The 26,852-nt window shown below is 33.2% G+C and overlaps 1 protein-coding gene and 1 long non-coding RNA gene across 15 annotated transcripts in view; one reads left to right on the top strand and one right to left on the bottom strand.

Annotated features, from left to right (window-relative positions):
• Positions 1 to 26,852, bottom strand: part of TDRD3 (tudor domain containing 3) — a 178,347-nt gene that overhangs the window by 120,507 nt on the left and 30,988 nt on the right. For 10 of the 14 annotated variants that reach the window (XM_047430685.1, XM_024449417.2, XM_005266556.5 and 7 more), the window contains exons 2-3: positions 13,601 to 13,685; positions 8,625 to 8,690 (exon numbers count right to left, since the gene is read on the bottom strand). In XM_047430685.1, coding sequence (XP_047286641.1) covers positions 8,625 to 8,690; positions 13,601 to 13,685 — 151 coding nt within the window. Of the gene's footprint in view, positions 1 to 8,624; positions 8,691 to 13,600; positions 13,686 to 25,844; positions 26,302 to 26,852 lie in introns of those variants that run through there. The other 4 variants (XM_005266560.3, NM_001146071.1, NM_030794.2 and 1 more) reach the window with 2 other exon arrangements.
• LOC124903178 (uncharacterized) lies at positions 21,153 to 24,487 on the top strand. The gene is made up of 3 exons (XR_007063814.1): positions 21,153 to 21,208; positions 21,334 to 21,469; positions 24,401 to 24,487. It is a non-coding gene; the product is annotated as an uncharacterized LOC124903178 (long non-coding RNA).

Raw genomic sequence — 26,852 nt, 5'->3', positions numbered from 1 at the left:
TAAGTAGAACTGAATTGGCTAGGAAAAGAAAAACTACATGTTACTCGTTTTCCTAAGCTGTCTTTTTGAGGCTTAGTCAGTCATTGGGAAAATGTTTAGGATTGTTTCTTGCTATTAGTCCCCATTTTATGTATGTTACCCTTCAGTAAGTTCTTCCCATTTTAGTTTTCTAGTATTGAAAGGCTTATTATATACATTATTCATGTGTATTGTCATATTTAGCTTTTGCTATATATTTTAACTTCATCGTTAAACTTTTGTATTGCATAGTTTCTTTGGTATATCTTAAAACCTATTTTTGAAAAAATAAAACTAATGAGTTGAACTAAGAAGTTGAGGAAAAAAAGCAGTGAGTTCAAATCAGGTAGAAGAAAAATAAATGAATCAAACTAAAAATACAATAACAACATTAACAAAGTCTATTGTAACAAAGACTAATGAAACTGATAACTGACAAGAGTAATCAAGAAGCAAAGAGTAAAGGCACAAACCAACAATTTAAGAACTGATAACAGTAATAAGAGACATATACATTTAGTAATTAAAAAAAAAAAAAACTAAGAACAGTGATCAAAATGTCCAGAAACTATTAGGTTGGTGCAAAAATAACTGTGGTTTTTGCCATTACTTTCAATGGAAAAAACTGCAATTACTTTTGCACCAAACTAATAGTAAGTGGAAGGACAAAATGTGGGATATCCATACAATGGAATATTAATCACCAATAAACAGGAAAAACTATCAACATATGCTATGTTATCGATTATCCTAAAAAATATTACACTAAATGAAAGAAACCAGATACAACAGGCTATATATCATGTGATTCCATTCACGTGAAATACCAAGAAAAGGCAAATTTATAGAGAAAACTCAAAAGAATATACAGAATAATGTAAGAATATATTATTCTTGTTGTAAATGGTGTTTTAAAAATTATATCTGGAATAAGAAGAAGAATAGAATATATAAGAATAATAATGTAAGAATAACTGGCAGGTGACAGAATTACAATCAATATGCAAATATCAGCTGCCTTTCCATGTACCAGTAACAGAGGAAATAGTAATTAAAAAATTTTTAAACACCATTTACAATAACAAAAATAGATAGGTCCAGGAATAAAGCTTACAAAAGATGCACAGCCCATATACTTCCAATAAATTATAAAACTTTATGGGAAAAATAAAGGAAGAGATATACCCAGGGTTGTGCTGGAGCCAGCTCATGCAAGCTCACAAAAACTTTTTATGTACATTTCTTCCTAATTCCCGGTTCAGTGATTTTATAACATAGCTTACAATCAGCCAAACAGGGAATATTTATACCATAGAAAGTGGCAAATGCTATGTGTCAGGGCTATTTTTTGCTCTTCAGAGAAGCATTTTACCAGCATTTCACTGGTAATATCATATCATATAAAGATGTCAATTGTTTTTAAGCTAATGCGCAGATTCAATGCAATTTCAATCAAAACTCCAACATGATATTTTTAAGAGTCTTAATCATTTGATTCTAAAATCTGTATGGGCAGGGGAGAGAATAGCCTAAGGAAGAATAATGTATTTTACAATCACAAGATTAGAAAATTTTGATCAAGTGCCACAAAAGATATGGCTCAATTGAATCTCATATACAATACTGAAGGTAACATAGTTGATACAAGTGCTTTGCAAGATAATTTGGCATTATCTTGTAAAGTTGAATACTGGCTTAATTCCACAATGCAGTAGAGTTCCATTCCTGTTTATATTCCTTAGGGAAACTGTTATATGTGTGCAGAGGTGTGTTGGTAAAATACTTCTGGTAGAGGGACAGGGGAAAAGCCACTGTAATCTGTAATTTGTGCCAATTTCCATGGCCAACCACAACCGTCAACTGGAGGTTATTGCACTCTAAATTGGAAAAAGATGCCGACAATGAACTTCACGAGCTGGAACAAGCTGGATCCAGCACACGGCAAGCATCTAACACTATTTCTTGTACCAGAGATCTCAATGGCTCTGGACACTTACTCTGGCACTCCTGCAGCCACTACTCCAGAAACAATCTTGCTGCAACTTCAACTATTACTGACAGGATTCTCCACAGGTCCCGCTTTTTTGTGTGTAACTGGCCCAACTCCAAGGCAGCTACACCTGACTAGCATAGCTGCAAAGGAGGCTGGGAGAAAAGTATCTGGCATTTTCTTCTTCTCTACCACCAAAACTCTTAAAATGGGAAATTCCCCCACAGGGAGATAATTCAGGTTTTAGAAATTACAAATATCCACTATACTTATCTTCCATGTATTGTTACCAGTCAAGATCTGTCAAGCTTTATTTTTTATTCTTTAGTTTCCACTACAAAGGAGCTTTTTGTGTAATAGAAAACATTAAATATAGTGTGTGTGTATGCGTGATCTGTGTGTGTATGTGTGTATGTACCGTAGAGCTATAACCTAAGATTTTAAATACGCCCGATATGGGGCATCTACCCACTATTCCTTCATTGAAAATCACATCTCTAAAAGCTAACAGTCTAGCAAGAAAAGCAACCTAATACCCTCACTAAACTGAAACAGCTGCCCCTTTATTGTACACACCTTTGACATAGCATTTGTTTCACTACATTGACACGGCTGGTTTCTCAATCTCTCATTAGGCTATGTGCTCCAATAAGACAGAGGCTATCTTGATCTCTACATCCCTATCTCTTGGCACAAATACACATTCAGACACCGTCTGATTAAAAAAATATATTTTCTAGTGCTTTAACTATAATTTACTTAGCACTTCCTAGATACATACCAGAAAATATAGCAGGATCTTTACATAAGTTCTTTAATTTACCTCCAGAAATATAAAGTACCCTAGGATTATTTGTATTTACTAAATAAGAAAATTAAGGACAGAGGATAAAGTACTTTACCAGTGGTCACTCAGTCAGTAAGAGGCAAATTAGAATTCCAATTCGGATCTATCTCATGCCAAAGCCTGTCTTTGTAGTGCATATTCTAAAAGTATGATAATATTTGTTACATACTAAAAACAGATGTAGGTATAAAGGGCAATGAGAATATTCGTATTTAAAAATTAATTCTGCTCAAAAGAGGTCAAGAAAATTAGAAGAGAAGGGTCACACCTCAGTTGGAATCTGAAAAATAAATAGCAGTTTGTCTGACAGCTGAGGGAAGGACACTCAGGTGCTCTAGCAACAAAAAACTGTGATCTTAGGGAAGGTGCAATTCTCTTATCTCTAAAGTAAAAGGGAAGGCTATAATAGTTTATATTTTCTGTGTTGTTCTGAATATTGTATAGATAATACATATAAATTATTTAACATGGGACCTAGCATAGAATAGGTACTCAACAAATGACAGAAGAAAAACAAGAACAAGAATTATTAGAATTCACTAAAAACCAGGGTTCTCCTAGGTAAGGTAGGTGCTTGTGCCAAAAAAGATCAAGAGGGAAGCAGATGACAAAAGCATCAAGAATATTGAAAGAAATAGCTTTAGGGAAGGGAGTACCTAATCCTAATCTCAAATTTTTCAAATGATATTCATATGCAGCAAAGGAGTTTAAGTGGAAAGTAAATAATAAAATTAAAACTTTCTAAATTATAAATATAGTTGTATATTTACTAGAAGATCTACCCCTTAGGAATTTTTAAAACATTTAATAAATTCCTTATAATTAAGAAATTGACAACATAATCTTGAATAGGTTTTTGCAAACGTAAGATTCCCTGAAAGTAAAAAGCCTCAATTTAACCCTCAAAATAACAGTAGGGCACATAAGTTGCTCGTATTCAATCACAAAGTAATTATAGCAAATGAATACAAGGAAAGTATGTGGGACTACCAGCCAAAAGCAACACTTTTCCCAGTGTATCATTTGACAATTTCCACATTTCTATTCTTCACTTCTCTAACTTTTTGTTCCTTGGAACCAAAAACAGAAAAAGGTAAGTTGAATAGTTTATTTTTCAGTTATCTATTTAAACTCCACAGAAGTCCTATTAGTAATTACCAATAAGGACTTGTAAATAAAGCATGAAAGTTTTAGTAATCCATTTTTTCTAATACAAGTAGATGTTTAATTTTAATATATAGCTCACTAAAAGAAACAAATTGTATTACTTAACACAGACTAACATATAGGAAACATATTATTTTATTAAATCAAAAGTTAAAACTTTTTTCAATTCCTTTTCTTTTTAAAAACATCCGATTTCTAGACTATCCAAGGGCAAGAGAACCTTCACTTTGAATTTTAAGGCAGTGAAGCCATCTTGTGGTTGATGTCAGTATTGCTGAGGTTTTGAGACCAGTCACTCCTACTTGGGAAAATTAGGTCTTATTCATAGTTTTACATTTAAAAAGGTATATACAACCTGTCATTCTTAGAACTTAGAAAAAATAAACACAGAACTCAAAGACTGTACAGTTAGGACTCCATAGCAGTACATAAGGTCCTCGAGTAGCTGAATTGATAAGAAAGTATTTTGAAACTAATCTGTATTTTATAATTAACTTTTACGCCTAGGTTTAAAAAGCTACAGCAAAATATTAAAATTGGGGAAGAATATTAAACAGTTATACTTCCTTTTTATCATGACTTTTTCCATAATTTTTAGCTTACAAGCTGCTACAGCAGTCCTAGGACTTTGTAATATCCAAGAAAAACAAAGCATGCCCTGAAAAACTCAGAAAATAAGTTGCATAATATGGCTTCCCTACCACACTTCCTTCCAGTCACAATTTTTACAGCTTTTGAATCAAATATGAAGTGCCTATAAGAAAATCTGGAAGCCTGGAAAAAATTGTGATTGTCCAACTCTCACCACTTTTTAAATTTTTCTGAAACTTTTGCATCAAGGTTCTGGGGAAACTTTGTGGAGAAAAGACAGAAATTGAAAAGTATGTTAAGAAGAGAATGGAAGAAAGAGAAAAGAACCTGAGCAAAACTACTATATTAATTAGTAATAAAGCTACTTCTACTTTTTGCCATTCTGTCTTCTCCCAAAATAATCAATGATAGTAGCAATTATTAAGACTTCAGTTTCAAAGCTTCAGGACGACGCCTTTCTGAAGGCCTCTGATGCGTCTTAGAATGAGAGCTGTAAATTCAATATGTCCAGGATTAGCTGGTCTTCTAACTGCAGACTTACAATCTTTCTTACCTGATGACAGATCTATCAGCTCTCCATTCTCCCTTCCCACTCTCAAGTTCCCAAATGCTGAAAACAGCATTATCTAAGTCTTATTAACTATAAAAATAATAATACACACTGTGTGATCATTTACTTTGGGCTTTCAGGAGATGAAGTTTGAAGACTCGTCTCTACACTCCTTTAATCTACTTCCAAAAAAGATTACTGATATGTCTTGGAGAAGCTCCAGTGCATTGTACTGAGCCTCAGGCCTAGTGAATGAGATTCCAAGGTGGTTGGAAAATACATGGGTGAGGCCCTTTCAAAGGCACCACACAACGTTAATGGAGGCAGTTTCTACTAAGATGACACCCTCCTCCCCGCAACATGTTGCTTTTTAACTCTTTGCTTCTTAAATACTGGGCCAAATGCTCTCCAATCCTCACTCTCCTTTGGCTTTCTCTCTCAGAAATGGTAATATCAGATGGGCTTGGAACTTAGTAGAAACAGTCAGAGAAGGGGTTTTAGCTTGCTTTCATTCTACCAGAGACCAACCTACCTCAAGTAGTAGAATTCTGCATGGGGTTTGGGGCCAAAACCCAGACAATAATGATTTACCAATTTGCCTTACCTTATTTATTGAATCCCCTTGAAGATCTCTCAGTAACAAGATACCTAGCTGACATAATAAGGATTCACATATTCTTAGACTTTCAAGATAAAAATACCATCCTAAATTGCTCATAATTCTCGAAGCTTGCCATATGCATTGTACTGGATTTAGTATTATCTCATTTATGTCTTCAATGTTGTAAGGGAGTAGTATTTAAATGATAAGGAAATTAAAATCTGGCAAGATTAACTGACTTATGAAAAGTCACAAAAACCAATAAGCAGGAGAAAGAAGATTTAAATCCAGGGCAATGACCCTATGTCTGGATGTCTCTAATCTGTTCCTGGTCCGTATCATTTAATGCCTCTCCACCCTCAATCAGAAACATGCCACAACCATGCCTCCTCTGCTTCTTGAAATAGTCTATTGTATATTTTAAGTTTTCTAAGTTAGTTTTTGGAACATTGGTTTTTAGTACGCCCTATTTGAAAGATCACTGGATAACCCAGCTCTTTCTTTCACTCTTTTCTAATATAAAAAGAAAACTAGAAAATATCATTTTATACCAAAATCTGGCATGGTCAAGAGATAGGCAGATTACTTATTCAAATATTCTGTTTGCCAACTGTTGTCCTGTATCTTATGCACAGATTCAAACAAAGTTGATTTAAACAAGAACTATAACTTACATAATGTTAGTAAGTAACGGATCAGTAGTGACTGATTCTAGAGTCATGCATTTATAGTCATCATTAATGGTAAAATGCTGGTTAATAAAAGCATTCCAATGAAGACATAAATAAGGAGCTTTTACTATATTAGTCTTATTTTACTAACAAAGAAACCAAAATAATTCCATTCACATCAAAAATATATTCCTTGAATATGTACTCTGGTTTAAGATAGTTACATTTTTATATAACATATGGATTTTTAGCTAAAGACAAACCAAATGAGTAATTTCTGTGTGCCAGCTTCTAAAATGTTTATTTAAATTATTTTTCAAAACATCTTCATTAATACTGGTGAAGACAATTATTAATTCTGTGAGAATAATATATATTCTTATATGACATATAAGAATAATTCTGTGAGAAGGCCAGGCACAGTGGCTCACACCTGTAATCCCAATACTTTGGGAGGCTGAGGTGGGCAGATGACTTGAGGTCAGGAGTTTGAGACCAGACTGGCCAACATGGAGAAATCCATCTCTACTAAAAAATACAAAAATTAGCCAGGCGTGGTGGCATGCACCTGTCTGTAGTCTCAGTTACTAGGGAGGCTGGGGCAGGAGAATCAACTGAACCCAGGTGGTGGAGGTTGCAGTGAGCTGAGATCATATCACTGCACTCCAGCCTGGGCAACAGAGCAAGACTCCATCTCAGAAAAAATAATAATTCTGTGAATAATAATTCTAGAAAACTATTAGTTTATTAATATTGTGTTGGAAGTATGTAATGAAAGGAAAAAATATAATCAATGAGGAAGAGCAAGCAGAGATATCAAATTTTTGTTTCATGTGAAAAGTTACATTTGCATTAAGAATGTTTTAAAAGATAAAATTTGACATAATAATCTAGATCAGAAAGTTTTAAAGTTATTTTTCTTCTTGCTAGCTACATTCAAAGGAAATCTTAAAGAGACCACTGTGCAAAACTTTTAAAAGTAAAAACACTCTGAAAGAGTGAAGGGAGCAGACAAGAATCTCTGTACTACTATTCTATGAGCTTGTAGCAGAGGTGAGTTCTCAGCATCTTTTTAGGACACACAGAGAAAGCAGAAAACCAAGAATCAGAAAGCTTCAAAATTTTAAGTAAAATAATGTAAGGATGTACAGACACTGCTTTGATATTATTTACTTTTCCTATAGAGATTTGTTGCATTCAACACACCTAGTCAAGATTGTTGCCTACTTTTCTAAGTATCCTTCCTAGAACTCTACATCTCCTGGAAAACTGTTCGAAATGCAAATTCTTGGATTCCATCCTAGTCCTACTGAATCAGAAACTCAGATGGGAGTAGAGGTTGTTTGAGGTCCAGCAATTTGTGTTCTAGCCAGACCTCTGGGAAATTCTGGTGCACACTGAAGTCTGAGATAGCCACTATAACCAAAAGAAAAAGAAATGTAAAGAAACTGGAGAGGATTCTAAGAACAATAGAGATGAAAAGTAAAGCTTGAGACTAAAATAAACAAAGGAATCAAGATAGATGGCTTTAGCAAAAAGAAACCTGTGGCACTGACATTTATGTCTTCACGTATATAATTATTTACAAAGGAAGGTAACCAGATGTACTCCATTTCTCCTGATGAAAGACAAAGAAGACATGGACTTTAACTTGCAGCATAAAATGTTTAGGTAAAAATATAATTAAAGTTTGCTGACGCAAAAAAATTCATAACACGAATACATATGTGTGTACTGCAAAATGATTGCAATAGACAAATGCACAGCTTCACCAACTTGCTCCTAATACTTTCATAATCTTATATTTGTATATAATAAGTTCATTAAATAAACATAACAGTTTATTAAGGTAACTAAAATAAAAAGGTAAATAAAATTGAAAGGTAAGAAAAGGTCATTGTAATGAGTGCCAATTACATCTGGTTTTAAGTCTCACCGTTCATGTAAGCATGCCATAGTTACAAATTCTGAAACAAAAGGTTGCTTTTTTTTTTAATGTTGAAAAGTCACCAAAAGTTGAATTCTTAATAATTTTCCATGGAAGTCACCATAACAATGACTTTGTGACCTGTTCACCTCCAGAGTATTTTGCAATTGCAGTCTTTATTGACAAAAAGTAATTCCAGTAATTTAGTTCATATTTATTGTAACTAAATTAATTAATGTAAGAAGTTATTGATTTTCTTTACCTTTTCTACCTTTCCACTATTGATGTCACTGGGGAGGAATTTCTTGCCAATTGTTCTCAGATCTGTCTAAAATAAAAATATTATTATTAAAATGGAATTATAGAAAAGAGTAAATTTAAATCTAACCTCATGAACAAAAGATGAAATTACTTATGGTTTGTGAAACAAAAATTCAGTTTAACTGGTCATGAGATCTACATGTATTATCAATCTTTCAAGTAACAGTGTCCCATAATACGTTGTTTAAAGTATACCAGTAAGATGAACAGTAACACATAAGGCCTTAATCCTGGTCATATTTCTTTAGGTAACCTTTTTATTTACTAACTCTTCTCTATTAAAATCCAAAACTTAATTTATGTAAATTGTGATCTTACTAAAAAATATCACATTCCAAAATCAAATGACAGCTTTTGAATACATATACATAGTATGTTTTTTAAAACTGAATCTCATATAACCTTGACATTACATAAAAACATATCGCCCTATAGGCTATGATATCTGTAACATAAAGCTATATAACATACAATATCCCAGGATACAATACCACTGGAATACCAAAGAAGTTATAGTAACCTTTACTATAGTAATTTCATTTGCTTAAACAAGTTACAGAAATAGAAGGTGGTAAACAAATAACTATGAAAATGCAGAAGTACCTGTAACTCAACAAGGAAAATATAAGGACTAACAAAAACAAGGCTATAGCATTCATGACATAAGAAAAGGAAATTCTGACTACACAATCTACATAAAAAGCAGAATATTTTACGACTGTGTCCTCTTTAGAAAGTGAAAATATAAAGGAATGGTAAGAGATTTGTTCACAGGAAAACTGTCAGTACTCATAAAAAAGATCCAATTATTTAAACTAATAAATTATCCTGATGGTTGAGATAGTGAGATTAGCATAATAACTGAAGTTGTGTTGTTTTATTTTTCCTTATAATATAGTAAACAGTAGCTCTTCATCACCTTAAGAACAAGTTAAAAGAAAACAGACTTAAAGTGCATTTAACCACATAAATTATAAGGGAAAAATTTTTGTTAGACTTAAGGAGAAAACACTAGATGATTAAAATTACTGTGATGTGAAATGAATACATACAGAGGGGCAGGACCATCTTCTTTTAACACCTACCATAATAAAACATCCTCCTATTTGAAATATCCACATGTAGTCAGCTTAAGAAATGAGAATATAAGTTGTATAATCCCTACAGATTCTTTCCAGTTTTTTACTACTGTGATTCATAATTTATTCCTTAATGTAATGCAGGGATCACTCAAAGTAAAACTCACTAAATAGAACTGCATGGCAAATTAAGAGCCAAATCCAGACTCATGTGTAACAATGCTTTAGACTTATGCTTTTTACAACCTCAATCCAATGACAGAATTAAAAGAAATATAAACCGTACCTCACGTTGTACGCCTTTTCACTTGGAAAGTACTGAATAACATAAGTGTAAAAAAATACTTTCTTACACCAGCCTTCCCTATATTAAGACGGTTTTATAATTAAACATTAATAGATGTGAAGCACTCAGTATAATGACTTGCACAGAGTAAGCACTCAATAAATGTTAGCCATTCTGTTTATTTTAGTGAGTATAAAACATGTACTTTTTTTAATCATCTGAACATACATAACCATCATATCAATAATGTAACTAACAGTTCATGAAAACATTTACATTATTTTGAAGTCACCCAAAAGCTGAAATATTTAAATATGAATGAGAAACAGAATACATACAAATTTTATAATATATCATGGTCCCTCATTTCTGGTTTTCATCAATAATTATGAAATTTAATTCAAGTGAAAATGAGCCATCACTGTAAAGTAAATGAGCACTAGACAAAAATCCTAAACTTTGATCCATCCCAACGGTAATTAAAGAATCATATGATCTAGGACACTGTCACTAATTCTCTAAACCCAGTTAATTTACTCCTCTATAAAATGGAAAAACACCACCAATCCTATCTCACAAAGTTGTTGTCAGGCTAAAAAAAGACTACACGCTCAAAGTTTACATAATTTCTAAAGTGCCATACATATATATAGTATGTGTCCTTAAATATACAAATGTTATTTTGATGTATTTTTAGCAAGATGAAAATGATCTACCAAATCTTTAAATGCCCTAAATTCACACTATAAAGACAACTTTATTATTCAGATGCCATTGTATCAGGATTGCTAGGACGATGACTGGGTCCAAGAATGCTGTTATATTGAACAACAAAAAATAATAATACAGGAAAACTTTTAGCCTGTAAAACTTTAAAAATAATTTTCAAAGCATCTACCTACCCACGCACACATACATATGCACACATAAATACACACACACACACACACACATAAAATCCCTATTTACTTAAGTAAATGCAAGATAATATCTACTTGGTGAATCATTTTATATTATACAAAATCTTAAAAGAAATAAAAATATAATTTGTTTTTAAATTTTTACTAATGGATAGTGATCAGTAATTTAAGACTGGTCTATCATTAAATATTTTTCTGAATAATTCCAGTATTTGAACGTAAAACTTACATGCTGGATTTCAATGTCATTTCTTAATATTCTTACTCCCCAATTTAAAAAGCAAAAATTAAAAACATTCCTTTTCAACATAAAAAGCTAAGCCTAAAAGTTACATAGCAGATCTGAGGCAGCTATCTTTAGAAAGGCCAGCTTACAAGGTTAGCCCTAGGCTGGCAGCTAGGGACTTTGCACTTGGACCACTCCCTAACTAAAAATGTAATTCACTGCATGGATTATTCATATAAACAATATGATTTATGGTGGACATCTGTTTTCTGGGAGGGATCTGAAATTCTGGTACCTTTGCGGGCAGCCCAATAAAGGCCTTGGGTATTAGTCTTCAGAGGGCTTCCCTGGAGAGAAACACTATATACATGTTACTGCAGTGTTCATTGTCAGATAAAGGAACAAGCTCAGTGTCTACCCCATAGAAAGAAGAGAAGAAAACTTGTTCATGGATTATCCTCCCAATATATAATTAGCTATGCATGTGTGGGTACGTACATATATGCACAATAAGAATCAATAATACACGTCTTTCTCAACTCGTGGTTAATTTCCCACAATCACTCAAAAGTTGAAAAAAATTCAACAGAATACTACAAATGCCTAAATTTTATTAAAAGATGATAAATTTGGAAAAATAGATGATTTGTCTGGTATAGGCTTCACCCTAATCAAAATGGTTTTTTTTCCTATCATATGGCATCATAGCTTTGGACTGCAGTATTTAACCACATATTTCAGGGAAAATAAAAAAGACAAATTAACTCATTCAGATAATAGTCAGCATGCACCTCTTACGAACACAGCACAAATACTTCATCCTGATTTATTTTATTCAAATTTTCATACCAATTATAGTTTATTGCTATTTACCTAAGAATATAAATAAAAAAAAACCCCAGCAAATTGTCATAAAATCTCTTTCCTAGAATCTGTAGAAAGTTTTTCTTAAACAAGAAGAGTCCTTTATAATATTTTTAAGCAATAGAATTAACTAATTTCAGTGCAAGACAAACAGTTTTTAGTCATAAATAACATGCATAATTTCTAGCTAATGCTTATTATTAAAAAATTAGTCTTTTATTTATTAAAAACCTAAATACTTAGCTCAGAAACCAAAATAAAATGATCTTACTTGTCTTGTTAAGTAAAATTCAAAGAAGCTGAAAAAAAGATGACTCAGTGTAGGACATAAATTTTATCTGTTTAAACCCAAGTTTAATTCTATAAATATAAATTTAAGTAACTTTTTTAACGTTAGATTTATACATTTATTTATGTTTTAAATGTTCCTTGTGCCCATCATTTCTGCTTTACATTGATTTTGCAGTGATATGATGGATTTGTCAGACTATAGTTCTCTTAGGAATTTCATTGACCACATATTGTAGTACATACATTTGATTGTTTATAGCTTATTATAAAGCTACATAGAAAAACAATCAGAGGGTAATTGCAGGAATGAGAAAAGAACATTTGTTTACTTACTTTTTTTTTTGAGACAGAGTCTCACTCTGTTGCCCAGGCTGGAGTGCAGTGGCATGATCTCGGCTCACTGCAACCTCCACCTCCTGGGTTCAAGCGATTCTTCTGTCTCAGCCTCCCGAGTAGCTGGAACTACAGGCACACACTACCACGCCCAGCTAATTTTTGTATCTATGCTAGAGATGGGGTTTCACCACATTGACCAGGCTGGTCTCGAACTCCTGACCTCATGATCCTCCTGCCTTGGCCTCCCAACGTGCTTGGATTACAGGCGTGGGCCACCATGCCCAGCCTGTTTACTTACATTTTTATTTCAAACAACTTTTATAACTCTTGAAAAAACCCAAAAGCCAATACAATTATGGAAAAAAAAAACAGCTAGAGGGTTGGGTGGACAAAGAGTTGAAAAGAAATATACACTAAAACATTAATAGTAATTATAAGCAGATTTAATTTTCTTATTTTGCTTTTCTGTTTTTTTCTGAAATGTTCCACAATAAGTATTATTTCTATCATCATGAAAAGTTATTTTGAAACAATAAATACCACTGTCAAAAAGCTATAACCTAGCTAGAGTTTCTATGTAAATTAAATGGCAATTCATTTTAATGAATAGTCAGTTTTTACTACTATTACGTAGCTATTGTAAATGTTAAAAAAGTCTATGACTGATCAGTGGGTGAAAAAAAGGGATGTTAATTTCATTTTTTCCTTTTTCATTGGATTCTGTATAACAGATATTAATAACTTGCTAATATGAGATTATTAAATTCAACAAACATCATCACTACAACTTAAAATGGACAAAATAAGAAAGATGTTCTCTATATTTGTTATCATATAACCCAATTTACTCTGAGACTTTTTTATGAATACAGCTTCCAGATTTCAAATGTTTACAAGTTAATAAATATAACCTACATTGAGAGCAATCAGGATGATGTCATTTACATTGACTTTGTCTGGAGAGCTTGTGCAAGCTTCAATGCCTTCATCTGAAAGATACCTGTTAAAATAAAATAAATGGCTTAATATTATCTAAAATCAAAATTAACCAAAATTCTTAAGTCTACATGCAATTTTGTTTTCTACTATAAAGTGCTTCTGCTACAAATACTAGGGAAAGAGTCTTGGATATGGATTCCCTGTTTATTTACTATGTCTTATAGAAGAGATGAACAGTGCATACTTTTCTTTTGTACCCTTAAAGAGCTATTGTGTCAATAGGATTATTCATACGCTTTCTGAGAAAAGCTATTTAAATGTCAATATACTTAAGGGATGTATAAGCTGCTCTTTGCTATTATACAAATATAATCTCGACTTAAGTATCTGTTAATACCATAAGATCTTAAAAAGAGATTGAGATGTGTTATAAAAATAAAACTAAAATAAACACTGTTTTAAACTGAGTACAGCAGAACTTCTCTCTGGACTTTCTCACATTATCTTCTCAAGTCCCCTTTCTTTCACATAAGGTTCTCAAGGATCCTTCAATAAAGGCTATTAATTCCAAGTAACACAAAGATAGGCAACTTTTTACAATACATCTTTTACTTTTCCTATCTCTTTTCAGTTTTTTTTACGCATTGTCTTATTTGCCCTTTTTTCTTTTATCCAGTCCAAATCAGCCATGCATCTGTCAGAGACAATTAATTCAAGAGTAAAGAGATTACTGAATCTGAAGGAAAAAAATTCGTCTCTACCCATACCCATGGACATTTTGAAACTCTTTGATAAACTCAACAATTCTAAAATCAACCATCAAAAATCCACTTGTAAAAACCCCAATTAATATCTCACATTTTTTATAATCAGTATCAACCCCTTTAACCAAATGGCTAATGGTACCATCACCATTGCAGACATTCTTCCACAGTTAAAAGGATCCAAGACTGCTAGTCTAAGAGATCTAACTCAAGCTCATTTTTGATGAACAGCAATTCCACCATCAACTCTCAACACTAGACTGATTCTAAGATACTTATCAAAGTAAACCTTACCCAGAAATAGCAACCAAAAAAAAGTGCCTTTAAGAAGTAGAGAATAATTTCTCCAAAGTAAAAAAGCAAGTGAAAAGAAATGTGAATAGTTAGAACAGTACAGAAGAGCAATAGAAGATTAAAGTAGATAAGCCAATGAGCAAGACCAAGGCGATAAAAGTCAGAAAAATATATATTTAAGTCAAACCAAGAATGTTAACAAAATGAGGTACTATTAAAAGTTTAAGACCATGACACTGTTAAACCACAATGATAAATGAAGGCAAGTAGTTAAATGGGTGACAGAGAAAATACAAATATATCGATGAGTCAGTAAGAATGAATAGATGGTAGGCAGGAATGACAGTATATAAGTGACCATGGAATACAAATATCTGCAGTCAATTTTGATGGTTAAAATACTGCTTTAACTCAAAATGGCTATAATAATTTATTATCCTGTTAATTTTTCACTATGAATAATGAAAAATTGTCCAACTGTATCTGTAACTCTAATTAATAATCTTATAAATTCACTTTCATAAATATTATGCCCCGCTTATGTGAAAAGTATTGTGTGAAATCAGTAACAAGATTAGTAAAATGATGAAAACTAAACACCTGCCCTCAAGAAGTTTACAGTCTGCTATACAGTATAACACAATACATAAACAGCTATCATACAAGGCCAAAATAACTATAAAAATGTTATAGGAGCTCAAAGTGGCTGTGGGATGGGAAAAACACAGAAAAGGAATAGTGTAATCAAAAACATGGAAGTGAGTAAGTGTGAAGCACCTTCTAGGAATAATATCCTAGAGCTTTCTGGCTGGAAAATGGAGAAGAAAAAAGAGATAAGTATAGGTTGAGACCAATTTTAGAAAGCAACAGTACACAAAAGGATATGGGTGATAAATTAAATTCTGATTGAGTGATTACAAAAACACAGCTTTCCAAGCTCCTACACAAGAGGGAAATAGTATGTAATGACTAATAGAATATTTTGTTTTCTAGAAAGGAAACTGTAGAATTAAAGAATTATAGGATGTCAGATAAACTAGAATAGATTAATTAATTTAAATTATAATAGATTATTTATATTATAATAAATTAATTTAATTTAAAAATAACCAAAATTCACCTCTTCAACTTTACAGATGAAGGAGTCCTAGAGATGTAAAATTAAACTTGCCCCAAAAATACAAATTTAGAAGATGCAAAGTTAAAAACAAAAATGACTCCTAACTCCCAATTCAGCACTCTTTCCATTATAACACACCATTTTCAGCTGGGCACAGTGGCTCACGCCTCTAACCCCAGCACTTTGGGAGGCCAAGGCAGGTGGATCACCTGAAGCCAGGAGTTTGAGACCAGCCTGAGCAACATGGTGAAACCCCGTTTCTACTAAAAATACAAAATTAGCCAGGCATGGTGGCACATGCCTATAATCACAGCTACTCGGGAGGCTGAGGCAGGATAATTGCTTGAACCCGGGAGGCAGAGGTTGCAGTGAGCCGAGATCATGCCATTGCACTCCAGCCTGGGCAACAAGAGCAAAACTCTGCCTCAAAAAAAAAAAAAAAAAAAAAAGTTTAATTTATCAAACAATTAATGCTGATACTAGTGATATGATAATCTCATTAAAAAAAGCCAGTAGCTATCCAAATCAGTTTCCTAATCAGCTAGATACTTCAGCTCACACAGACAAAAGCAGAACTAGACAAATTCAATTGGTGAGCTCCAAAGTACATTAAACAAGAACAGGTATAAAACTCAGTTGATAAAAGCAGTCATGCTGTTCCCTTCTGCATCGTAGAAGATCAGGAAACTAATATCAACTAATTATTAGATATTCAAGTTTTCAGAAGAATAAAAATATTCCATCCCTACAAAATATTAAAAGGTAAAGTCTAACAAAAATTCTAAAGGCAGAGTTGTAAGGGTTTGGAAACTTGCCTTTATCCACATAAGTCAAATATGTGATTTCTTTCAAACAAGGCCCATACATCACATTGCTAGACTTAAAATTATACTACAAGGCTATAGTTACCAAAACAGCATGGTACTGGTATAAAAATACGCAATGATACCAATGGAACAGAATAGAGAACCTCGAAATAAAGCCAAATACAGCCAACTGATCTTCAACAAAGCATACAAAAACATAAATTGGGGAAAGGACACCCTTTTCAATAAATGGTGCTGGGAAAACTGGCAAGCCACATGTAGAAGAATGAAAATGGATCCCCGTCTCTCACCTTATACAAAAATCGACTCAAGATGGATCAAAGATTTAAATCTAAGACCTGAAATCATGAAAATTCTAAACATTTTCATGGTTTAGAAATTCTAAACATTGGAAAACTCTTCGGACATTGGCATAGGCAAAGAATTCATGACTAAGACCCCAAAAACAAATGCAACAAAAATAAAAAGTAAGTAGAACTTAATTAAACTAAAAGCTTCTGCACAACAAAAGAAATCATCAGCAGAGTAAACAGACAACCCACAGAGCAGGAGAAAATATTTGCAAACTATGCAAAAAGGACTAGAATCCAGAATCTACAAGGAACTCAAACAAATCAGCAAGAAAAAAAAAAAAACAACCCATCCAAAAGTGGGCAAAGGATGGAAATAGACATTTCTCAAAAGAAGATATATAAAAACAGCCAACAGACATAAGAAAAAATGCTCAGCATCACTAATCAACAGGGAAATGCAAATCAAAACCACAATGAGAAACCACCTTACTCCTCTAAGAAAGGCCATAATTAAAAAGTAAAAAAAAAAAAACCATAGATGTTGTCATGATGTGGTTTACACTGCTGGCAGAAATGTAAATTGCTACAACCACTACGGAAAACAGTATGGAGATTCCTTAAAGAACTAAAAGTAGATCTACCATTTGATCCAGCAATCCTACTACTGGGTATCTACCCAAAGGAAAAGAAGTCCTTATATGAAAAGACACATGCACACACGTTTACTGTAGCACAATTTGCCAGTTGCAAAGATGTGGAACCAACTTAAGTGTCCATCGACCAAAGAGTGAATAAAGAAAATGTGGCATATATACACCATAGAATACTACTCAGCCACAAAAACGAATTGAAATAATGTCTTTTGCAACAACTTGGATGGAGCTGGAGGCCATTATTCTACATGAACTAACTCAGGAATGGAAAACCAAATACTTAATGTTCTCACTTGTAAGTGGGAGCTAAGGCATGAGGGTGCAAATACATATAGAGTGATATAATGGACTTTGGGGACTCTACTGGGGTAGGTTTGGAGAGGGTGAGGGATAAAAGACTACATATTGGGTACAGTGTACACTGCTTGAGTGATGGGTGCACTAAAATCTCAGAATTCACCACTATAGAACTTATCTAGGTAACCAAAAACCACCTGTACCCAAAAAAACTATTGAAATAAGAAAATAATAAGGCCTATAAAAGGTTTTCTGAACATAACAAAACCAAAAAACTTAAGCCTTATAGGTTTACTCCATAATTTTCAAGAAACAGGGCACCCATTCACAGCTCTCCCTGAATAATATCTTACTGATCCTTTTGTTAATACTGGACGATTGTCACAGAAGGACTGAGCCTAAATTAACAATAATTTGGGATTTACAAATTAATCTTTTCATTTTTATAAACATTTAAAACTCCAATATTACCAATGAATAAAACAAGTGATAAAAAACAAAAACTCAAAGACCAAAATGTGCTTCAAGAACTTCAGTAACACAGTAACTGAAGAACAACACAACACAGGATTCACCAGTCTTAATTGAGGTAATCAGGAAAGAAAGCAACTGAAAAGTGGAGCAGGCACTCCAGTTACGGTCCCTGTGCACACCCACCTGGTGGACCTTGAGAGAAGAGAATTATCATCAATTCCCATGTGCCATCTTTGAACACCTAAAACCCAAGGGCATTGATACAAAAGAAGAAACTGACACCAGAGGGTTCTTGTTTACTAAAACAGCCAGCAAAAGCACACTTTTTTTTTTCACTCTCTAATGGAGATTTTGGACATTAATATTATAAAACCACTTATTACTAATCTAAACTATGACAACATCTGAATACATTTTACTGACAAGCAGGGCATTAAAAGGCTAAATTTCTGCATTATACTCACAGAACAGACAAATATTTCTCACTAATTTTACCTTCAAATAATGCAATTTTTAAGTCACCGCAGTTTAGTAAGTGCTCAATTTTTTTTTTTTTTTTTTTAAACAGGGTCTCACTTTTCACCAGGCTGGAATGCGGTGGCACAAACACAGCTCACTAGAGCCTGAACTGCCTGGGCTCAAGCAATTCTCATGGCTCAGTCCCCCAAATAGCTGGGATTACAGGCACTCTCCACCATGCCCACTTAATTATTTTATTTTATAGAGATGAGATTTCACCATGTTGCAGAGGCTGGTCTCCAACTCCTGAGCTCCAACAATCCGCCCACCTCGGCCTCCCAAAGTGCTAGGATTGCAGGCATGAGCCACCACACCCAGCCTTAAGTGCTCAAAACTTTTTAAAAAGGGATTTTAGAAAATGCTTCCTTTAGTAAATGCTTCTATTTATGAGATGTCAAAATTCCGTCTTAGAATCACTTAACTGTCTTCACGTCGTGTTCAGAAGTCACTTGGCATATAAAACAGACATGTCCAAACCATAGCTCAAGAATCTCAATTGGCAGAAAACTGTGATAAAACAAACACTATTGTTTTAAACTCATTGTTCCAGATAGTAGATCTCCATTACCACCCTTTACCATCAGTAAGGAAAGAAGAGGGCCAATTTTCTTTTGATCCATTTCTTTGAAAGCAGGTAAAATCGGTGAATCTAACTTACTCACTGGCTATAATGTATAGATAATGAAACGGAGCAAGGCAAACTACACATCAGCTGACTGAGCTAAAGGGGGCAGCCATGTCTGCACGAGGACTAGTAAAGCAGTTACTGCGTCAGATTTGATTTTTAGCTTTTAGATTTCCGTAAAGCAGTGTACAAGCCAAACAAAACAGGGCTCAGCCTGCATGTGGTACATGTACTTTGTACTTATTAAACACATTAGTTTATTTAAATTATTTGCTCCTGTTCACTTCCAAGTTGTCTCTGACATACAGTGTTGTGCCGTAAGTGTACCTCAGATAGTATAACATTCATAGCCAACTTCCTTTCCAAGCAAGAAAAGAACCAAGTATCTTTTAGGTCACTTTGTACGCACTGGGAGAGCAAAGAACACAATTATGCCTGTAACAAATGTTCTCTGGTGAGTTGTTTACATCACACTAAAAAGTATCAAATCATTCAGTCTGGTCATTGACATAAATATTTTACAAACTGGACATATAAAGAACCCATGCTTACTTCAGACTTTGAGGACTACTTATATTTTTAAGGAGGAGGAATGTTTTAATTGGCCAGAAAGTGAGCCATAAAAGCAAACATTAAAGTTTTATTCTCTTTTACCCACTGCCACCCATTGAAATAATGAATGCCCATTCAAATCTGAACTGCAACTTGACTTCCTGAAATAATAAAATACAGAATTATTGCACATTGATATAAACTGGGCTGATGACACATGAAAAGTCTTTAAAATGCCAATGAGAAAACCAAGAGTGAAAACATTCTTCACAAATGGATAGGGACTATGTCAAAAAAAATAAGAAGATATCTGGACAGTGACTGGTACATGGTGTTCTTAATTGCCCCTGAATAAAACCCAAATCAAATGGCTTCATGCAGTTTTTGGGGTTCTAACCTACACCTGATTATCTGCTACCACACTGAGGTTACTAGCCCCCGCACATGATATCCAAATACCAAAATGGGAGTTTGATAAATGAATTCTTGCTTAGCCACAAAGAAAATAAAGATAACTAATTCCCAATTACCCAAGCTAAGGTGGGACAAGAGAGGGAAAAAACATAAAAGATAATTTAAAAAATAACTTCTATTAAAGGATATTTTTGATCTTAGCAAATATGGAAGTAACTGACCTACTGCAAATTCCCAAAACTTCAATGTTGTAAAGATATTTTTTAAAAATTACCCATACGAAGATCTCTCTGTTCACTCTGCCTAAACTGTTTCTCTCTCCATAGTGTAAATTGATTGTAATACACCTGCCAAAAATTTGTTTTATATATTATTCTTATAGACTCTTACTATACTATACCTAGTCAGAGACACTGAAAGAATTAACTTGCCAATTCCCTCCTCTAGGGCAGAAGGAAAATGGCTTGAAAGTTCTTGTTTATGAATATAACTTGGGAAAATACAGTATTTTGCCATAATGAATAACAAGATTAGTAAGGTAAAAATGCTAGTAAGAATTGGGGCACAAGATTTTCTTCAGATAACCTGTTAAAAATAAAATCAATATATTCAATACAGCTTACAGATATATTGGAAAGATAGCACATGAGAATATAAAATGGAACACCAGCAGTTAGTTGAATGAATCCATGAATTCCATGGCAAAAGCTCTATTAAGCATAATAAACAGAAGGATCAGAATTCTACAAAAGGTAATTCAGAGGAGTGAGTACTATGAAAAATGGTGGAAAATGAAAAAAGAGGTCTTTTATTTTGTTTCCCTTAACAACTAAGTACCTCTTCTATTAATATTACCACATTTTCTTTTCTTGTCTAGGCAAAGTAGCCACTTCCTATCCCACATTGAATACCACAATCTGTATTCCAACAATTAAACCAGGACTTGAATCAATGCTAGCTTAAAAATTTAATTTTCTCTGTGGCTTATATATAAATGGATCAGATAAATAAAGGTACGTACTATTTAAAGTACTTCTAAGTACCAGCATGTAGTGTTAATCTTAATGTAGTAAACTACTTTCAATATAAGATTTATTTTACTCATTAATCAACTATCTATTAATATGCATTATTTTTTCAGTTTTTAGTTTTTATGATTTCTTTGCCATCATAAATATACATTAGTTCCACCTTTTTTTTTTTTTTTTTTTTTGGTAAAGATAGTCTTGCTTTGTTGCTCAGGCTGGTGAAAGGATTAATATGCAAAAAAAAATTTTTAATTACTTAACACTATTTAAGAATCTTCTTCTAAATAAACAACTTCTGATGATGCAAAACAATATGAAATGCCTTGATATCATCATGGTTAACATCCACACTGGTCAAATATCAGTATTTCAGTAGCCAAACAAAAAATTTATTTTAAAAATTGAGATGGAAATTTAAAAAATTTCTAGGGAAAATCCTTTGTAAGTTTATATCTAATTTAACAGTATTCAAAAGTGTTTAAATTCTGAAAAGTTAAACCTAGATAGCTTTTTGTTAAGCACTTCCTTTAAAAAGCTGAAGACTATCAGCTAGCTAATTGTGAAAGCTGTACTACTTGAAAGCACCACTAGATGACAACCTTGTTTCACAAGTAAAATATTATACTCCTGTTGAAGCTAAGACCCTGAAGAGATACTAAACTAGCTTAAAGGTTTCTGACATTTGTTTTTTGTTGGAGAGTAGGGATAACAAAGAAAATAAAATAGACTACTATAATTTTGAATTTGTGTTTGATATAAAGATCACTCAGGGTTTAAAAAAAACTCATTTAGTAAGCATTCAAGAAATACCTCACCATTAGATATATTAAGACAATTTTCTCTTCCCGTCTCTTCTACATCTATATCGTCTGGAAATAGATGATTTTATAAAAATAAAGTACACATAAATTATTACAGACTAATGCTTTTTTGCTGTAGAATAGTTACAAAAAGTATTTTCAGCATTATTTCAATAATTGCTTTTCTGTGACATCAAAATACAGCATGACGATTTTAAAATGATCGTGAGATAGGTAATAAACAACAAACTTCTATTTTATGACTCATATTCAAAATATTAAAATATTTTCCCCATACATAAACCAATCCATGAAGGCATTCACCCTAGAATGCTTATTTGGTATTAAAAAAATTGTAACAGCTGAGCAAGTAAAAATTTGTAAATAATTCCTTTGAAATCCCATAATTGATATATTACATAGTATAGTGGCAATGGTAACCTAACTATGTTGTTATTCATCTTTGTAAACCATGACTCCACATAAATTTAAAAGTATAAAATGAAGGCCTAGATATTTTTACTTTCATTGGGGTTATAATTTACAGCCTTCCTCTAATTCTATATTTTCATACATTAATTCAGAAGCAGAACTGGGGTTACTTTTTAATAAATCAGATTTTAAGATGTGAGATTACTTAATATTTCTGTCCTCTTTTTCTCAGCAAAAAGGTAGTGGCTATAAAACCATATATCAGTTCAAAAGGCTTACATGAAGCCTAATGCCCTAAACACTACACTGACTACTGCACTCATAGCATTGCTGCCTACAAAGTCCATGCTGAGGGTCTCTCAAGGTGAGGCCTTCCAGAATTAACCCCAAGGAGATCACATACTTGGTTAAGTTTCCATAAGAAATGCTATTTATAAATGTAAGGTATTACAAAAATTGGAAGGCATTTTCATGAGTAGCTGGAGAGACTATCACTTTTTAGTGAAACTAGTGAAAACTAGATGAAAATCTCAGCCTTACCTTTCAATACATGTGGGACCCTAGTCAATTTACTTCATCTTTCTGTGCCTCAGTTTACCCTTGCCGAAAAAGACCGTACTGAAAATACTGATCTACAGAGTTTTTCTAAGAATAAATGAGGAGACAGCATGTAATACCTAGCATATGCTTGGAATACAGTAGGTGCTAAATAAGTATTAGTTTTCTTCCTTCTTAAACATGGTGCCCTTGTTTATTCTACAAAATATTTTCAAAACATAATGATATTCAAAAATCTGGATTCTAATGAGAAAGAGAATACAATTTCTCTAATGAGAAAGAAAGAGAATAAAATTAATGATAAAGGGAATTTCTTCAAAGGCTACAGCTAATAGTCAAAAGTGTATATGCTTCCTTACTGGTAAGCCTAACTACATATTTCTAGCAGGCTACTCACATGGAGTTCACTGAGAACTAAAGAAAAGTGTCAGAAAGAAGGAAATACCTTTATTATTTATTTTGTTTAAATCATTCAGTTTTACAATTGAAAGTTTTTTAACAATAAGAAAGTAAGTTATTCCATTAGACTGTGCAACTGTTTCTGCCTGGAACAGAATTTCTAATGCAAAATGAACTGCTATTGTTTTTGTTCAACCTGCCATTTATGTCAAAATTTAAAACAATAATGTCAAGAAAGAGCTAGTAAGCAATAAAGTTTAAAATTATATTGCACAGAGAAAAATTAGCCATTTTACAATTTACATTTAAAATTTATTTAATGTCATTCAAACTCTTAAAAATGAAAATCTACTTCAATTATCATAGGCAGTTAAGACAAATACCTATTTGTTTCTAGTATATGCAATCATATGTCTTACAATCTAATAGCATAACGATTCCCTGTACATTAAAATGAAGTAAAAAATGAAAGAGGCATATAAAAAGCACAATATTACAATTAAAAAGGGCAGCCATTTAAATGTGTCACTAAACAGGTAAATACTAAACAATAAATTTTTTGTCAAAAGAGTGAAATAGTCCCATATATATGTCAGCTGATAAATATGAATTAGTAATTCTCATTTCCATTTCTTTAAAATGCATCTTAAATACAAAGTGCTTAGTGTTGCTTACATTTTTGAAATAGAAATGCTGCAAATAAATTAGATATTTTTTTCTATTGAAGGAGACCAGGAAATTTCACCCCAAAATATGGCACCCTGGTATGCTGATTATTTTAAATTAAAGGCCCTTGGAGACTGGCAGATACTAGAAGAAGCTTTACTCTGATACTCCCTTATCTGCTTAAACTCCAGACTCTTCAAAGAAGAAAATTACCACTGGTCCTTTCCTTGAGTTTTCATTAACTCATACTGCAGGAATAAAGACTGAAGTCTGTCAACACACCTGGACAGAACCACTGTCTTCTCTGTGGGCCCACAAGGCTTTGTCTCAGGATGCACGAGGACGTATGTCTCAAGACGTATGTTCTCCAAGCCCATTGAATTCCCCTAAAAATCACTTTTCACCTTAAAATTATCCACATCTCCCTTTCCTCTGTGAAGAGTATATAAGCTTCTGTACCCCCACTGCACTATTGTATAAACAATCATTCTCTTGTAATTCCCTTGTGCTATGCACGATAAAATTAATTTTGCATGCCTCTGCTATTAATCGGCCTTTCTTCAGCTGATCTTCAGCAAACCTTCAGAGGCAGAAGGGAAAATTTTCCCTTGGCCCCTATATTAACTTAGAAAACATAATTTGACTACATCCCCCATACCTCTTCATAGTAGCCTGAATGGTGGCCCACAAAAAGATATGCTTATGTCCTAATGCCTGGGAATCTGTGAATGTTACTTTATTTAGAGACAGTCTTTACAGAAGTAATTAAATTAAGAACTTTGAAATAAGAAAATCATACTAGATAATCCAGGCAGGTCCTAAATCCAATGACAAGTGTTTTTATAGGAGAGAGGCAGAGGGAGTTTAAAAATAAACACACAGAGTAAAGTGACACACAGAAAAGTAAAAGGCCATATGAAGCTGGAGGCAGAAACTGGACTGATGATGCCTCAAGCCAAGGAATGTCAGCAACCACAGAAGCTGTAAGGGGTAAGTTACTGATTCTCCCCTAAAGCCTCTGCAGGGAGAACAGCTCCAAAGACATTTTGATTTCAGACTTCTGATCTCCAGAACTGTTAAGTGAATAAATTTCAATTGTTTTAAGCCACCCAGCTTGTGGTAATTTGCTACCGCAGCCACAGGAAATAAATATACCCATTACAAATTCCAGTAATTACTTGAGAAGTATTGATTTAATTAAATAAAAAACATTATTTTGAAAGGCCATCCATCCCTTAGCTTAGAATCTAGAAGGACATTTTCTATTCAACTTAAAATGCCTTGATTCATTATCTCTTCCTGAATGAATACTTTCAGTGAACCTTATTGGTTAGCTTAAGTCTATAAATAAGAAAATACAAATTACACAGAGTGTCAGTGGCCCTTCTTATTATACAGAAAAGGATAGTGGGTAAACCAGGAGCACTGAACAGTGTGGAGAGATCAGTCAAAGGAAAGACGTAGAGAGGGGATCACCAAACTCTGTCTACCTACACCTGACTGACCTCCAAATGACACGTGCGAAGCCGACTCCAAACATCCCAGCTGAAGACAAAAGATTTGAAAAGAGGATGGAGCTGCTGCATTAGAAACGAAACTGCAGTTCAAACCCAGCCTCCCCACAAAAAAAAAGTACCTTTAATAACACAGGAAACAATATTCATCAGTGTAAAACAGAACAAAAATCTTTACAATTTAACACTATTAATATGCACTACAAAATCCAAAATTACCCAACATACAAAGAACGAAAAAATGGAACACATTCTGAAGAAAAAACAAAATCAATCAAATCTGTCTGATGCCAAGATGAACCTGATGCTGAAAATAATAAAGATTTAAAGTGGATATTACAGCTATTTGCTCTTAAGAAAAAAAAGTTTTCAATACAGTCACACTCCACATAACATTTTGGTCAATGACAGATACATATATGACTGTGGTCCTCTAAGATTAAAATACTGTATTTTTACTGTATCTTTTCTATGTTTACATATTTTTTAATATACAAATATGTTTAAATACATAAATACGTACACAATACTAAATTGTGTTACAATTGCCCACAGTATTCAGTACGATAACATGCTGTACAGGTTGGTAGCCTAGGAGCAACAGGCTATGCCATATAGCCTATGCGCGTAGTCGGCAATACCATTAAGGTTTGTGTAAGAACACTCTGTGACGTTCCCACAGTGACAAAGTTGCTTGAGAACACATTTCTAGAACATACCCCATAAAGTGATGAATGACAGTATATGGTATGTGAAGGTTTTATAGAATTCCTCTGTGAAACCATTTGTCCCTTGGTGCTTTTATGGAGTAATCTCTCCTTAATTTTCTCTATTTCTTCTATAACATTGGTCTGCTTAAGCTTTCTAACTCTAATGGGGGCAACTTTGGTCATCTGTACTTTCCTAGAAAACTACCCATTTCATATAGGTTTTTAGAATTATTTGCAAAGTGTCTCATGACATTTAAAAAAATTTTTATTGTGTATATTCAAGGTTTAC

The sequence above is a fragment of the Homo sapiens genome, chromosome 13 (genome assembly GCF_000001405.40).
Source record: "Homo sapiens chromosome 13, GRCh38.p14 Primary Assembly".
Classification (NCBI taxonomy): domain Eukaryota; kingdom Metazoa; phylum Chordata; class Mammalia; order Primates; family Hominidae; genus Homo; species Homo sapiens.
This window is presented reverse-complemented; position numbering and strand designations above follow the sequence as displayed.